The sequence below is a fragment of the Homo sapiens genome, chromosome 13, assembly GCF_000001405.40.
Source record: "Homo sapiens chromosome 13, GRCh38.p14 Primary Assembly".
Lineage (NCBI taxonomy): Eukaryota > Metazoa > Chordata > Mammalia > Primates > Hominidae > Homo > Homo sapiens.
The window spans coordinates 45,544,567-45,557,845 of record NC_000013.11 but is presented as its reverse complement, the minus strand read 5'-3'; the positions used below and the strand labels follow the sequence as shown (position 1 = coordinate 45,557,845).

At 43.9% G+C, this 13,279-nt stretch overlaps 1 protein-coding gene and 2 pseudogenes across 3 annotated transcripts in view; all 3 read left to right on the top strand.

The window, feature by feature from the left end:
- ERICH6B (glutamate rich 6B) overlaps positions 1–13,279 on the top strand; it is a 74,446-nt gene that overhangs the window by 57,894 nt on the left and 3,273 nt on the right. For 2 of the 3 annotated variants that reach the window (NM_182542.3, XM_017020418.2), the window contains 3 exons: positions 7,530–7,615; positions 7,801–7,953; positions 12,861–13,086. In NM_182542.3, the coding sequence (NP_872348.2) occupies positions 7,530–7,615; positions 7,801–7,953; positions 12,861–13,086 (465 nt within the window). Of the gene's footprint in view, positions 1–7,529; positions 7,688–7,800; positions 7,954–12,860; positions 13,087–13,279 lie in introns of all 3 variants that reach the window. The other variant, XM_011534965.3, reaches the window with a different exon arrangement.
- Positions 4,483–5,242, top strand: TIMM9P3 (TIMM9 pseudogene 3; annotated as a pseudogene).
- Positions 6,243–6,361, top strand: RNA5SP27 (RNA, 5S ribosomal pseudogene 27; annotated as a pseudogene).

Sequence of the window (13,279 nt, the reverse complement as noted above, 5' to 3'; positions counted from 1 at the left end):
TATACTATGAGGCCATAGTCACCAAAACAGCATGGTACTGGTATAAAAATAGGCACATAGACCAATGGAACAGAATAGAGAACCCAGCAATAAACCCAAATACCTATAGCCAACTGATCTTTGACAAAGCAAACAAAAACATAAAGTGGAGAAAGGACATCTTATTCAACAAATGGTGCTGGGATAATTGGCAAGCAACATGTAGGAGAATGAAACTGGATCCTCATCTCTCACCTTATACAGAAATAAACTCAAGATAGATCAAGGACTTAAATCTAAGACCTGAAACTATAAAAATTCTAAAAGACAACATTGGAAAAACTTTTCTAGACATTGGCTTAGGCAAGGATTTCATGACCAAAAACCCAAAAGCAAAGGCAATAAAAACCAAGATAAATAGCTGGGACTTAATTAAACTAAAGAGCTTTTGTGCAGCAAAAGGAACAGTCAGCAGAGTAAAAGGACAACCCACAGAGTAGGAGAAAATCTTCACAATCTATACATCTGACAAAGGACTAATATCCAGAATCTACAACAAACTCAAACAAATTAGCAAGAAAAAAAAATCCCATCAAAAAATGGGCCAAGGACATGAATAGACAATTCTCAAAAGAAATGCAAATGACCAACAAACGTGAAAAAATGCTCAACATCACTAGTGATCAGGGAAATGCAAATCAAAACCACAATGCCATACCACCTTACTCCTGCAAGAATGGGCCATAATCAAAAAATCAAAAAATAATAGATGTTGGTGTGGATGCGGTGAACAGAGAACACTTCTACACTGCTGGGGGGAATGTAAACTAGTACAACCACTATGGAAAACAGTGTGGAGATTCCTTAAAGAACTAAAAGTAGAACTACCATTTGATCCAGCAATCCCACTACTGAGTATTTACCCAGAGGAAAAGAAGTCATTATACAAAATGGATATACTTGCACCCACATGTTCATAGCAGCACAATTCACAATCGCAAAAATGTAGAACCAACCCAAATGCCCTTCAACAAATGAGCGGATAAAGAAACTGTGGTGTGTGTGTATGTGTGTGTATATATATATACACACACATATATATATGATGGAATACTACTCAGCCATAAAAAGGAACGAATTAATGGTATTTGCAGCAACCTGGTTGGGATTGGAGACTATTATTCTAAGTGAAGTAACTCAGGAATGGAAAACCAAGCATCATACGTTCTCACTCATAAGTGGGAGCTAAACTATGAGGATGCAAAGGAATAAGAATGACACAATAGACTTTGGGGATTCAAGGGGAAAGGGTAGGAAGGGGGTGATGGATAAAAGACTACAAATTGGGTTCAGTGATTACTGCTTCGGTGATGGGTACACCCAAATCTCACAAATAACCACTGAAGAGCTTACTTGTGTAACCAAATACCACCTGTTCCCCAAAAACCTATGGGAAAAAAAATTAGAGTAATTGAGAGTGAGCTAATAATCAGGTCTAAAGCTCAAAAAAGAGGCATTAAGGTGGGAATTTAAAAGATGTGATAGTCTTCATGTCTTCAGTAAATACATGTGGAGAACCTACGGTGCCCTAGGCACTCTGCTAAGTGCTGGAGATACAGAGGCAAATGAGACACAGCCTTCTCTCCCATGGAGCTTATATGTTCCAGTTGAGGAGAGAGTCAATACACAGAAGTACTATTTGGTGCTATGTTGGCTATTTTTAGGAGCCACGAGGAAACAGCAGCAGAGGGGGCCCTCCAGCTGGGCTGAGAGAGAAGATGCTCTCATGCCTATAGAGTAATCAGGGAAGGCCATTTGGGACAAGTACCATTTGAGCCTAGGCATGTATGAAATGAGGGCGTGAGCCATGGAGACTCCTGGGGAAAGGGCATTCTAGATAGAGCCAACAAGTGCAAAGGCCCTGAGGCCTTTGCCTCACGGACACCCATAGGCAAGTGGGAAAGAAATAGGAAATTAGCTTGGGTGCCCAAGTCAAATAGAGCCACTGCCTCAAGGACACAAAGCTGTATTCATCTGGACAATGCTCATCAGCTTCTGAAGCAAATGCTTCCCAAAGCCAAGTGGCTTAATGAACAGATGTCTATTTCTTTCTCATGTCATGTCTATTTTGAGCCTTGTATTTCTTTTGAGTGGCTCCCTTTCAAAGTGCATCTCGGGGATCTGGGTCTTTTCATCATAGGTCTCTACCATCTTGCAGTTGTCTATGTCCAGTTGTATGGACAAGAAGTGAAGCCAGGGTCCAGGCTTAAATTCCATTGACCAGAATGGACCCCATGACCCCAGCTAGCGGCAAGAGAGCTGGGAAATGGAACAGCTTGCACTAAGAGGAAAAGCAATAGGACAGCTTTACATCATGAGTGTGGCCTCAATTGTGGCAAAAGTGAAGGAGCATAGGAAATCAACACGGTTAACCAAGGTATGGACTTTTCTGACCTCCAGACAAGGAATGAGAAGTTCAGTATTCCTTCAACACTTGGGCCTGCATTGAGAAGGGAAGTCTGTGGGACCAGTCAGAACTCCTATAGACAGGAGAAGGGGGCTCTCCAGGTTGTAGCAGACAATGGTAAGGGCGTTGGAAGCCCTCATATAAAGTCTTCAGCTTTCTCCTATCCCTGGCCTCACTTCTTCTAATAGATAAAAGAAACCTTACTTGGCTTATTGCTCCGATTAGGCTATATAACTCCATGTTCTTCCACACTCCAGGCCCTATCCTGCCTCAGATCTTTGCCAGCTCTGGCACCATCTACCCACCATGGCGCCCCCTCCCCACTAACATCTAAAATGTCCTCCCTGCAGCCAAGAGGAAGATTCTCACCAAGATCTCTAAGCAGAGGATCCTCTCTCACCTACCATTCATGTTGGGCTGCACCAAGCACCCATGAGGTGTGGCAAGGAGTGGCACATTTAGTTTTGTTTGTTTGTTTTACAAACAGGCAATAAATCCCAAGCTGTTTGCTGAGTGCACACCTTCTGTGTGTGCTGGTGTTCAGGCCAAATCCAACCCCTCCAGGCCAGGACCCAGGGCCTCACAGCAGCCATGGTGAGCTCCCAGAACAGCTCTGGCACAGCTCGGGGTCCCGCCTGCAGGACAGGCCAGAGACACAGTCTCTTTACTCTGCACTTTAAGCTCTTGCCTCCTATTCTGTCCCCAAGCAAATGCTGACGAGCTTCAGGCTCTTAGACATGCTGTTTGTTATATATTTCCCAGTGAGAGAACATGTGCCAACTCCAGCTCTGTGTAAGAGATTTTGCTTTGTCCATGGGGTTCTTGTCATCAGGAAAATTTCATTACATGACAAGTGAATTCGACGAACAGAAAGCATCTCAAGAAATTCTGGCTTTTGGGTGGCTTTTGAAAATAAGACCTAAGTGACAAATACCCGCTACCCATGAAAAACATCTGGACATTTCCAACAGGTCACCAGGCAAACCAACTGTGGGTAAAATACAAAGCACTTTTTAAACCAAGTCTCTATCAACAGATGGATGAAAAAGGAAAACGTGGTCTATATACACAATGGAATACTACTCAGCCTTAAAAAAGAGGGAAATCCTATCATTTGTGAGAACATGGATGAACCTGGAGAGGATTATGCTAAGTGAAAGAAGCCAGGCACAGAAAGTCAAATACTTTATGACATCACTTATGTGTGGAACGTAAAAACACCAAACTCATAGAACAGAGTGGCCAGGAGCTGAGGAGTAGGGAAACGGGGAGGTGTTGGTCAAAGGATACAAAATTTCCGCTAGACAGGAGGAATAAGTTTAAGAGGTCTATTGTACATCATGGGGACTAAAGCTAATATTATATATTGATATTATATATATCAATACATTGCATACCTGAAAATTGCTAAGAGAGTAGATTTTAAGTTTTCTCACCATAACAAAACATATGTGAGGTAATGCATATGTTAAATAGCTTGACTTAGCCAATCACAATGTATACATACATCAAAACATCATGTTGTACAACATAAATATATACAATTTTTAATTGTCAATTAAAGAAAGAAAAAATTTTAAAGGGCTTTTTTTAGGTTTAAAGAAAAAAGCAGTGCTTTGTATACTAAATGTCGCAGGTGGCTGGGAGCTTAATGGTTAGAGGCAGCATCAGGGATAAATCTGAAGCTTGGGGGTCAGATTGCTGGAGCCTGGCTCTCTTCTAACTAGATAACTTTGTGTAAGTCATTTAGCCTCTCTTAAACAGGAATTAATGATAGTGCATATTTTGTAAGGTCAGTATGCTGTGGAATTAAAGTATTTAGTGCAGTGCTCGGCATAAGGAAACAGCCACTGTATGTTGGTTATATGATCATTGTCACCTTGAGGAGTGCTTTCTACCTGATGTCTAGGTGGAAACCAACAGACAGCTTTCTCTCAAACAAAACTGCATCTCTGTCTCTTATCACCTTAAATGTTGCATTCTGCTATAAGCTTTCTTTGGGCAAAGAATTCTTCAGTTTACAATAATAATTTGAGCCCATCCAGTGACCACAGCGCCCACCGTGGCCCCAACCCTCCACCCCTAGATTTAACTGGCAATGCGGTCCCCAGCTTCATACCGGTGTCAGAAGGGAGAATCAGCACTTAACTAACAAATCAGGCCTCACTGGAGACATTCAAGCAAAGATTGGACAACTGCTTTTCCAGAACAGAAAGGAAACTCATGTGTCAAAAACGGTGACTAATAAACATACTAAAAGAATATGGCTGCACAAATACCAGAATCTGATCAGATAAAACAGTTTAAGGAATGTCTTGCAACTACAAGAAATTTCCAGAAAACTGCTTTTTTCTACTGAGTTAAAGACTTCACAACAAGAGAACTAAAACCTGAAGAGACCATCCGCTCAGAACATTGCTTACGGAAATATTTTTAAATCATGCAAAGAATATCCATGAGATTTCAGGAATATCATTCAGCAGCCAGACAGGACTCCATGGCCAACCATGATAGAGAAGTCCTGATGGATGAACTTTTAATAAAAAATGTCCAATAGCTATTGCACTAGAAACGAGGACTCATCCAACAGAATCTCCTGAAAGCAGTAGCCACCATGCTAAACCATCACTCATGACTGTTTGACAAATGGAAACTACTGGAGACACAAAATCTCTATTTCCCTGGAATATCAAAATAGAAGGCCTTATTGTTCAATGACAATAAGAGGCAATATTTTTTGAGGCCTTAAGATTCAGTAGCTGGGTCACTTGGTTAGAAAAACTATTGTTTCTTCAAAAAAAATCAAAATAAAAATGGCTTGAAAATCACTAATCTGACTTCTTCTAGTTAAGTTAATGTGGGATACTAGATGGTCTGCAAAGCCTTCCTGCTGCAAACACCTGGGAATTGAAATAAAACATAAGAAGCATCCTTTTCCATGCAGAACAGAGAATGTAAGAAAGTAAGGGAAATAGCCAACACCAGAAATAAAGAGAAAACTACAAAACCAGAAGAGTGAGCTTCTGAGCCAGGTGTGTGTGCTGAGGAAGCAGGGGAACAACGGGTCTTGACAATCCACCAACATGGGGACAGGGGACAATTAGAGGACACACACCCTTTCCAAGCACATGCAAAACATCTATTATAATTGATCACATGCTAGGTCAGAAAACAAATCTCAGCAAACACCAAAGAAGGGATATTATATAGGCTATGTTCTCTTGCCCCAGTGCATTTTAATCAAGAATAGTAATAACATAACCAAAAGTCCTTTATACATTGGCAAATTTAAGAACACCCTTGTAAATAACTTGTGTGTCAAATCTGAAAATATTTAGAATGGAGTAAAATGAAAGGCAAATAACTACACTCATGGGAAACAGCTAAACAGTAAATTGAGGGGAATGTTACAGCTTTTTTCTGAGTCTGTTTTGTGCTGCTGTAACAGGGAATCACAGACTGGGTAGTTTACAATGAACAGAAATTTATTGGTTCCAAAGGCTGGAAAGTCCAAGCTGGAGGGGTCACATGTGGCAAGGGGGTTCTTGTTTCATCATCCCATGGTGGAAAAGCAAAATGAGGGCAAGAGAGAGAACGAGAGCAAGAGATCAAACTAGTAGCCTCAAGCCCTTTCATAATTATTATTAATCTACTGATGAGGTTAGAGTCCCCATGACCTAAATACCTCCCATTAGGCTCCATCTCCCAACACTATTGCATTGGGGATTCAATTTCCAACACATGTTTTTGGGGGGACACATTCAAACCGTAACAGCTTTAAACACATATTTTAAAAATCTACAGCCATATCACCCTGAATGCTTTCAATCTTGTCTAATCTCAGAAGTTAAGCAGAGCTGAGCCTGGTTACTACTTGGATGGAAGACTGCCTGGGAATACTGGGTGCCAGGGGGCTTTCTTTTAAATGCTTTCTCTGATAAAGGAGGAGGAGGATGTGAAGGAGGAGTAGGAGGAAGATCTTGAAGAAGAAGAAAGACAAAAACAGAAGAGTTTAGTATTCAATTCCAGGAATTAGAAAAATAAAATAGAATAACATAGAAAACCCACAGAAAGTAGAGGATATAAACGATAATGATATAAGCAGAAATTGATAAACTATAAAACAAAGAAATAATGGAATAAACAAACCAAAACTTGGTCCTTTGAAAAGATTAATAAAATAGGCAAACTTTCTGACAAGGTTGATTCAGAAGGTATAAATAATAAAGAGAATGAAAACAGCGATGTAACTACAGAGACAGCAGAGATCTCTTTAAAACACTATAAACTTAAAATTTTTATGACAATAAATTTGAATGTTTACCTAAAATGAACAATTTTCTAGAAAAACAGTTTGCAAAAACTGATTGAAGAAGAAATAAAAAATTTGAGTATACCAATGTTATGGGTTGAATTGTGTTCCCTCAAGAGACATGTCGGAGTTCTAACCCCCAGTGCTTCAGAATGTGACCTTATCTGGAAATAGTCTTTGCAGATGTAATGAGTTAAGATGAGGTCATCTTGAAGTAGGGTGTGCCCCAATCCAATATGGGGTCCTCCTAAGAGGATGGCCACGTGAAGATACAGAGAGCACCACATGAAGATAGAGGTAGAGACTGGGGTGATGCATCACAAGCCAAGGAATGTCAAGGATCTCCGTCTATCATCAAAAGCCAAGAGAAAAGCATGGAAGAGATCCTTCCTCAAAACCTCTAGAAGGAACCAACCCTGGGGACCCTTTGATTTCAGACTTCCAGCCTCCACAATAGTGAGATTAAATTTCTGTAGTTTTAAGATGCCCAGTTTGTGAGACTTTGTTCAAGCATCCCTGGGAATCTAATGCAATCAATAATCATTGGGGTGATTGAAATGACAGTTTAAAATCTACACACACACACAGATCCAGTCCAGCCTCCTCATCATATAGACAAGTAAACTGAAGCCCCGCAGCTCCCCAGCAAGTTGATGAGGTAGCACGTGGCATCGGAGAGCAAGCAGATGGGGTCCACACCGTGCTCTGCAGTAGGACAGTTGGTACCCATGTACTTTTCACACTTTTCATAGGCTTGTCTTTTCTTCCCAGGTGCATCAAGGTGATGGAAAATTAATTCTCTACCCCAACAAGAATGTCTATCAAATTCTCTTTCCTGATGGGACAGGCCAGATACAGTATCCACAGAAGCACAGGGATGCTCGTATTGACATATATTGGCACCTAAAATGTCTACGATTTTTTATGGGGTAAGGGGTTTGACTGAGGTGTGGGGTTTGACTGAGGCCTGCATCATCTGCAGGGCCCTACCTTTTCCAGGGGACCCCAAGGACTGACTACTTGTGCCTTAACCTTCTCCCAGTTATCCATCAGGAAACCTGGCTATGCTCATCTTATATGCGAAAATGAAAAAGTTCACATACATCATTCTGGAAGACAGTCTAGAAGGGAGGATCCGGGCCCTTATCAACAACTCAGGCAATGCTACCTTCTATGATGAAAATAGTGATATCTGGTAAGCTTGGGTCATGAGTCCCTAACACTCCTGCCCATGGAGAAGCAGCTGGAAAAAGCGTGACTCCCAGACTGTATGAACTTCCTCCCTGTCTCAGAGTTACACATGTTGGAAATGGGAGAATGAGCACCATGATGGACCAGTCCATGAGGTCCCTGACCACAGAGGAGGCACGATGTTCTTCCTGCACCGTTGCTCCTCCATGTGTGAAATAGCCGTCAAGGCTCCACAACCACCACATTCTATTGGTTTCATCTCCTAAATACTTCTTAAGAGTCACCTTTGTGATAATTTGCTTAGGAAGACCCAGTGCCTCCCTGTTCTGGGTGCCTCAGAGAGGAGGGTTTGGTGACGGTTTGGAGACACATGCATACAGAGTCCATGGTCCAAAACGTGACTTCTAAATATTTCACTATAACTGAAGTTAGTTCTTAAGTTCCCATTTCTGGTAATGGTGGAAAACCATCTTACCAATTCAAGACCACTCAGTCACTTCAAAATGTTTCTCCATCTCTTTGAGGTAAAGGACTCTCTTTTCAGGATTTTTTCCTTCCCTCCCTCTTCTAAGTGGTCATGGTGTGGGGACTTATATATACTTTTTTTTTTTTTTGTGACGGAGTCTGCTCTGCGGCCCAAGCTGGAGTGCAATGGTGTCATCTCGGCTCATTGCAACCTCTGCCTCCCCGGTTCAAGCAATTCTCCTGCCTTAACCTCTCGAGTAGCTGAGATTACAGGCATGCACCGCCAAGCCCAGCTAGTTTATGTATTTTTAGTAGAGATGGTGTTTCACCATGTTGGCCAGGTTGATCTCGAACTCCTGACCTCAGGTGATCCATCCGCCTCAGCCACCCAAAGTGCTGGGATTACAGGTGTGAGCCACCGCGCCCAGCCAAAGGGACTTATATTATCTTGGATCAACTTTATACTTTCTTCTTGTTGGTCAAAGCCAAACATAGTTCCAAAAAAGGATTTTCATTCTGCAGACTTTGGTTTTTAACAATATTTTCTCTGCTGTGAGTCTTTTTAGACACCATTTCCTGATTGTCTTCTTTGTTCTGGAGGTATCTGCCCTCCCCTGAATGCCTTGTGTATAGAAAATGCTGTCCAAGAGTGGACCAAGGTCTTGGGTACAGAAAGCACAAAGGAGTGGGGCAAGAAATTCAGTTAATTACCTCAGAGAGGATCTGGTGACAGACCATCAAGCAAGCCAGGGAGGGAAGAGCTCCCCCTCTCAGTCCTATCAGCATGTCCCGGCCCCTCTGCACCTGAGCATCTGGATGAGAAACAGACGGTCCCTGTGTATCCTTTCACGGCACCCCTCACCCCTGCAAAAGTCAAACCACAGGGCCAGCCTCTCTCCCTCTCTCTGTGAATGGGCTGCCCTACCCGCAAACTGATTCCTTCCCCCAGGGGCAGCTGCTCCAGAGGAAAAATGTTACCCACAGAGGAAGGGCTTAGTCCCCGAGGGAATTCATCAGCAAAACTGCAGTCTCATTGACCTAGGAGAAGATTTTATGGAAAAGCCTCCCAGAGTCACTTGTGAATACAAAGCCATTTGGTCAGGGCACGACCCTAACTGCTAGAATTCCCTCCACACCAACAGGACTTCTCCATGGTGCCTTGTGCACTGGGAGGGACTTATAGCCAAGCCATTTCAAGAGCTGAATACTTCTTAGGTCACTTTTCGATTTCCATTTCCTCAGGGAAGATGGAAGGCATGGCTGTCCTTTGCCAGGTGTGTGGAAACTAAAATCCAGCACCCATCTTGACTCCCAGCCCAAGGGGTCTCAGGCCAGGCTTCCTATCTGGGTTCAGGGTCCCACACAGTGTTGAGACCTGCCCAAACTCAGGGTCCCTGGTGGGTGGGTTCTACTCATTCAACAGTTCAGGATCTTTTCACCCCCTGAGCAGGAACTTCCCAATTCTGACCATTTCTAGATGTTCCAGATCCCATCTTCCAAAGGGGGACTTAGCCCAGAGCTGGGCACCCTCAGGCAGGAGCAGATCTCTAACACTAGGGAGTGGGGGGTGGCCTAGTGTTGCTACTGGAATCCTAGGTTCTTTGGATCTCCCAGGATAGAAATCAAGAGAGATCACCAAACATAGCAGCAAAGTAAAGTTTATATCAGCTTGTACACAAGGGAACCAGCACTGAGAAAAGAAAAGAATGGGCTACTCCCTGAGTGCAATGTGTGGGTTGGTTTTATAGGGTCTTCCTATAGGAAAGGGTTATGTTTATGACAGGGCATGTACAGGAGCAGTTATTCTAGTGCTTGCACGGTGGCTCAACGTGCTTCTTCATACATCTTATGTAACATTCTCACTTTAAATCTCCACCCCTGCGTGTGGCTTTTAGCATTAGTTTAAGTCTAACTGCACATCCAGGGCTCCAGGAAGTCCGTAGCCACCTGAAATAGGAGCTTCTTGGGTCTTTTGTTACTGATTGGTTAAGAGCTAGCTAAGCCAGAGCTTGAGTGAGGGGCTTTTATTCTTTTCCTCCAGACCACCTTAAAATTGAGAACCCACCAGCCTGCCCATCTCAGTGTGAGAACTCTGATGGGAGCCATTTAAAAGGTTAAAAGCTAGCAGGATCTGCTCCCCACAGAGTGAAGTAAGAAGATTCTTCTCTTTGCTCTCCTCCCATCAATGATAACAAGGAAATTTTAACGTTTTCTCAGTTATTGCTGTGTATAGACATTTAATTCTTACTCAGCCCTCTGAACAAAGTACTATTATTGTCTGCTTTTTACAGTTGAGGAAATGGAGGCATAGAGAGGTTAAGTGACTGGCCCAAGGTCACACAGTTTGCAAGTGGCACAGCCAGACTTTGAACCGAGAGTCTGGCTCCAGAGCCCAGGTTTTTGTTTGTTCATTTGTTATTTTTATAATTTCAGTATGTATATAGCCTCTTACTTAGAGAAGGAGGAATGAGGTTGGACAGGCTGGGGTCCCAAGACAAAGGACCTTAGAAGTTTGCTCTTTGTTCAATGGAAAGTGGGAAGCAAGAGGAGGATTTGGGATTGAGTGACTGGAAGTCCTCCCCACTGGAGGTGAGCAAGGCTTCCCATAGCAGGCCTCTGAGCCACCTTCTCACTCCGATGAGGCCCCTGTGTTCCGTGAAAGGTTCATATATACAAAGTGACCCCCAAATGCAGAGGGAGCTGGAAACCAAACAAGGCAGACAAACCCGGTTTGTCTGTACAAGGTGATTACTAGGGGAACTTACAGACAGAAGTGCAGTCTAGGGTAGATGCAAGACAGGTATATCTCTGCACCAAAACCTCCCAGACCTGGGGCCTACGTCTTGGGGAAAAAGTACACGTGCCCTGGAAGGAATGTGTAGGGAGCTACGGGCGTCAAAGCCTGTCACGTATGCAACAATATCAAGGGTTGTTTTCAAAGAAAGGCAAAGTTTACAGTGAATAGATATTTCTAGATAAAATGTAGTACATCGCCACACCCTGGACAGCTCAGACGAGACCTGGCAGACAGTAACCCAAGCTCCCCAAGCCCTCCTTCTCCAGACGAACCCAGGCCTCAGCATCGCTTCCTTTCTTCATGTGATTCCCTAGAGATGTTGCTGCCCCAAGGGCACTGATTCTAGGAACTGCCCTTTGGGATTTGAAAAGCAGAAGCCAGGGCCAGAGGAACACGATGGGTTTGAAATGTCAAGAGAGGATGACTCAGAGGGCAGGCAAGCCCCACAGAATAGGGTCAGGAATGGATGAGAGAGAAATCCATCCACCCTTCATTCCCTTGTACCTATCAATATGGGTGCCCTGCACAAGGCTGGGCAACAGGAATTCAGCAGCGCAGCAGACAGACAAGGTCCCTGCCCTCACAAGTTTGTGCTGAGAGAGAACAGATGATGGACAAATACAGTCAATTCTCATGATTCATGGTAGTTATAGTCTATAAAGTCATTGAGAACACTGAATTGGCCAATACTGAACCCCTTGCTCCTAGGGGAAATACATACATATATAATATGTAACTCACGTGGAGCCAGGGACATGCCCAGAGCAGTGGGAAATTTGCACATGCCCAGTGTGCACATTGCTGGCTGAGATTGAACAAGGCCACGCTCTGCCCTTCTGCTCAGCTCTCCTGCAGAGGCAACCAGAGGACACAGGTGTCCCTACACAGGGCAGTGTTGTGCAAGAAGCTGCAGCTCTGGGGCTGGTGGGACAGGGTTTGAATCCCAGCTCCAGCAAGTGTTACTGGGATAGCCTCAGGCAAGTCACATGACACTTCTGAGCCTCCTATTCTCTTTTGTAAAATAAAAATTAAACAAAAACAAAAACAAAAAATGGTATCTAGCAGGATGGGCTGCTTTTAGGATTTAAGATGATAACCTATGTGAGATGTGTCTGTGTGCATATTTCCCCTAGGAGCTATGGGTTGTTTTGGTATTCACTAAATCACTGGCTTTCTAGAACATAATACAGTGAACAATGAGAATTTACCATATCTATTCGTAAATTATATGAAGGAAACCAACAAGGCATGGCAACAGAGTCCCGTAGGGAACCAGGTAGGCTGCTCAGGCTGAGGAGGTGACGTCTAAGCTGAGACCTAGAGGATAAGTAGACACCAGCCATGCCACCTGGGGCAGGGGAACTTTGCAGGCAGAGGGCAGAGCATGGCAAAGCTGTGAGCAGGAAGAGCCTGTGTGTGCCAGGAACTAAGGAGAGGGAAGGAGGGCAGGACAGGGCCATATGGTGAGGCCAGCGCAGGGGACAGTGCCTGGTGTTGGGTTGGTTGTCCATGTTGGAGCTTCTCCTACCCATCAAGTCCCTGTCAGTCTTTCTGTGCCAAGTAGGGGAAAAGAAAGGGAAGGAGAAGAGGAGGAGCAGAGGCCCAGGGCTGAGCGCCCTGGCTGCCTGACATGCTTTCTCCTGGTCCAGGTTGAACCTGAGCTCCAACCTGGGCTACTACTTCCCCAAAGACAAACGCCAGAAGGCCTGGAACTGGTGGAATCTGAACATCCATGTCCACGCACCCCCTGTCCAGCCCATCTCCTTGAAAATCAATGAGTACATCCAGGTACAAATAAGGAGCCAGGATAAGATCATCTTCTGCTTCACCTATGAACAGAAGCAGATTTGTTTAAACCTGGGCACCAGGTACAAGGTAAGGTCACAACTCCCCATACCCTCCACCAGGTGGGGTGCCCACCTGTACAAAGGCCACTGCTGGCTTGGACTGGCCCATGCCACAGGCCTCCAGGCTTGTTCTATATATGCCAACCCGTATAAAAACAAGGCCACTTTGGTTTACCTGATGTTTAAGTACACACAAATACATTCATGTGTCTCCCCAGCAC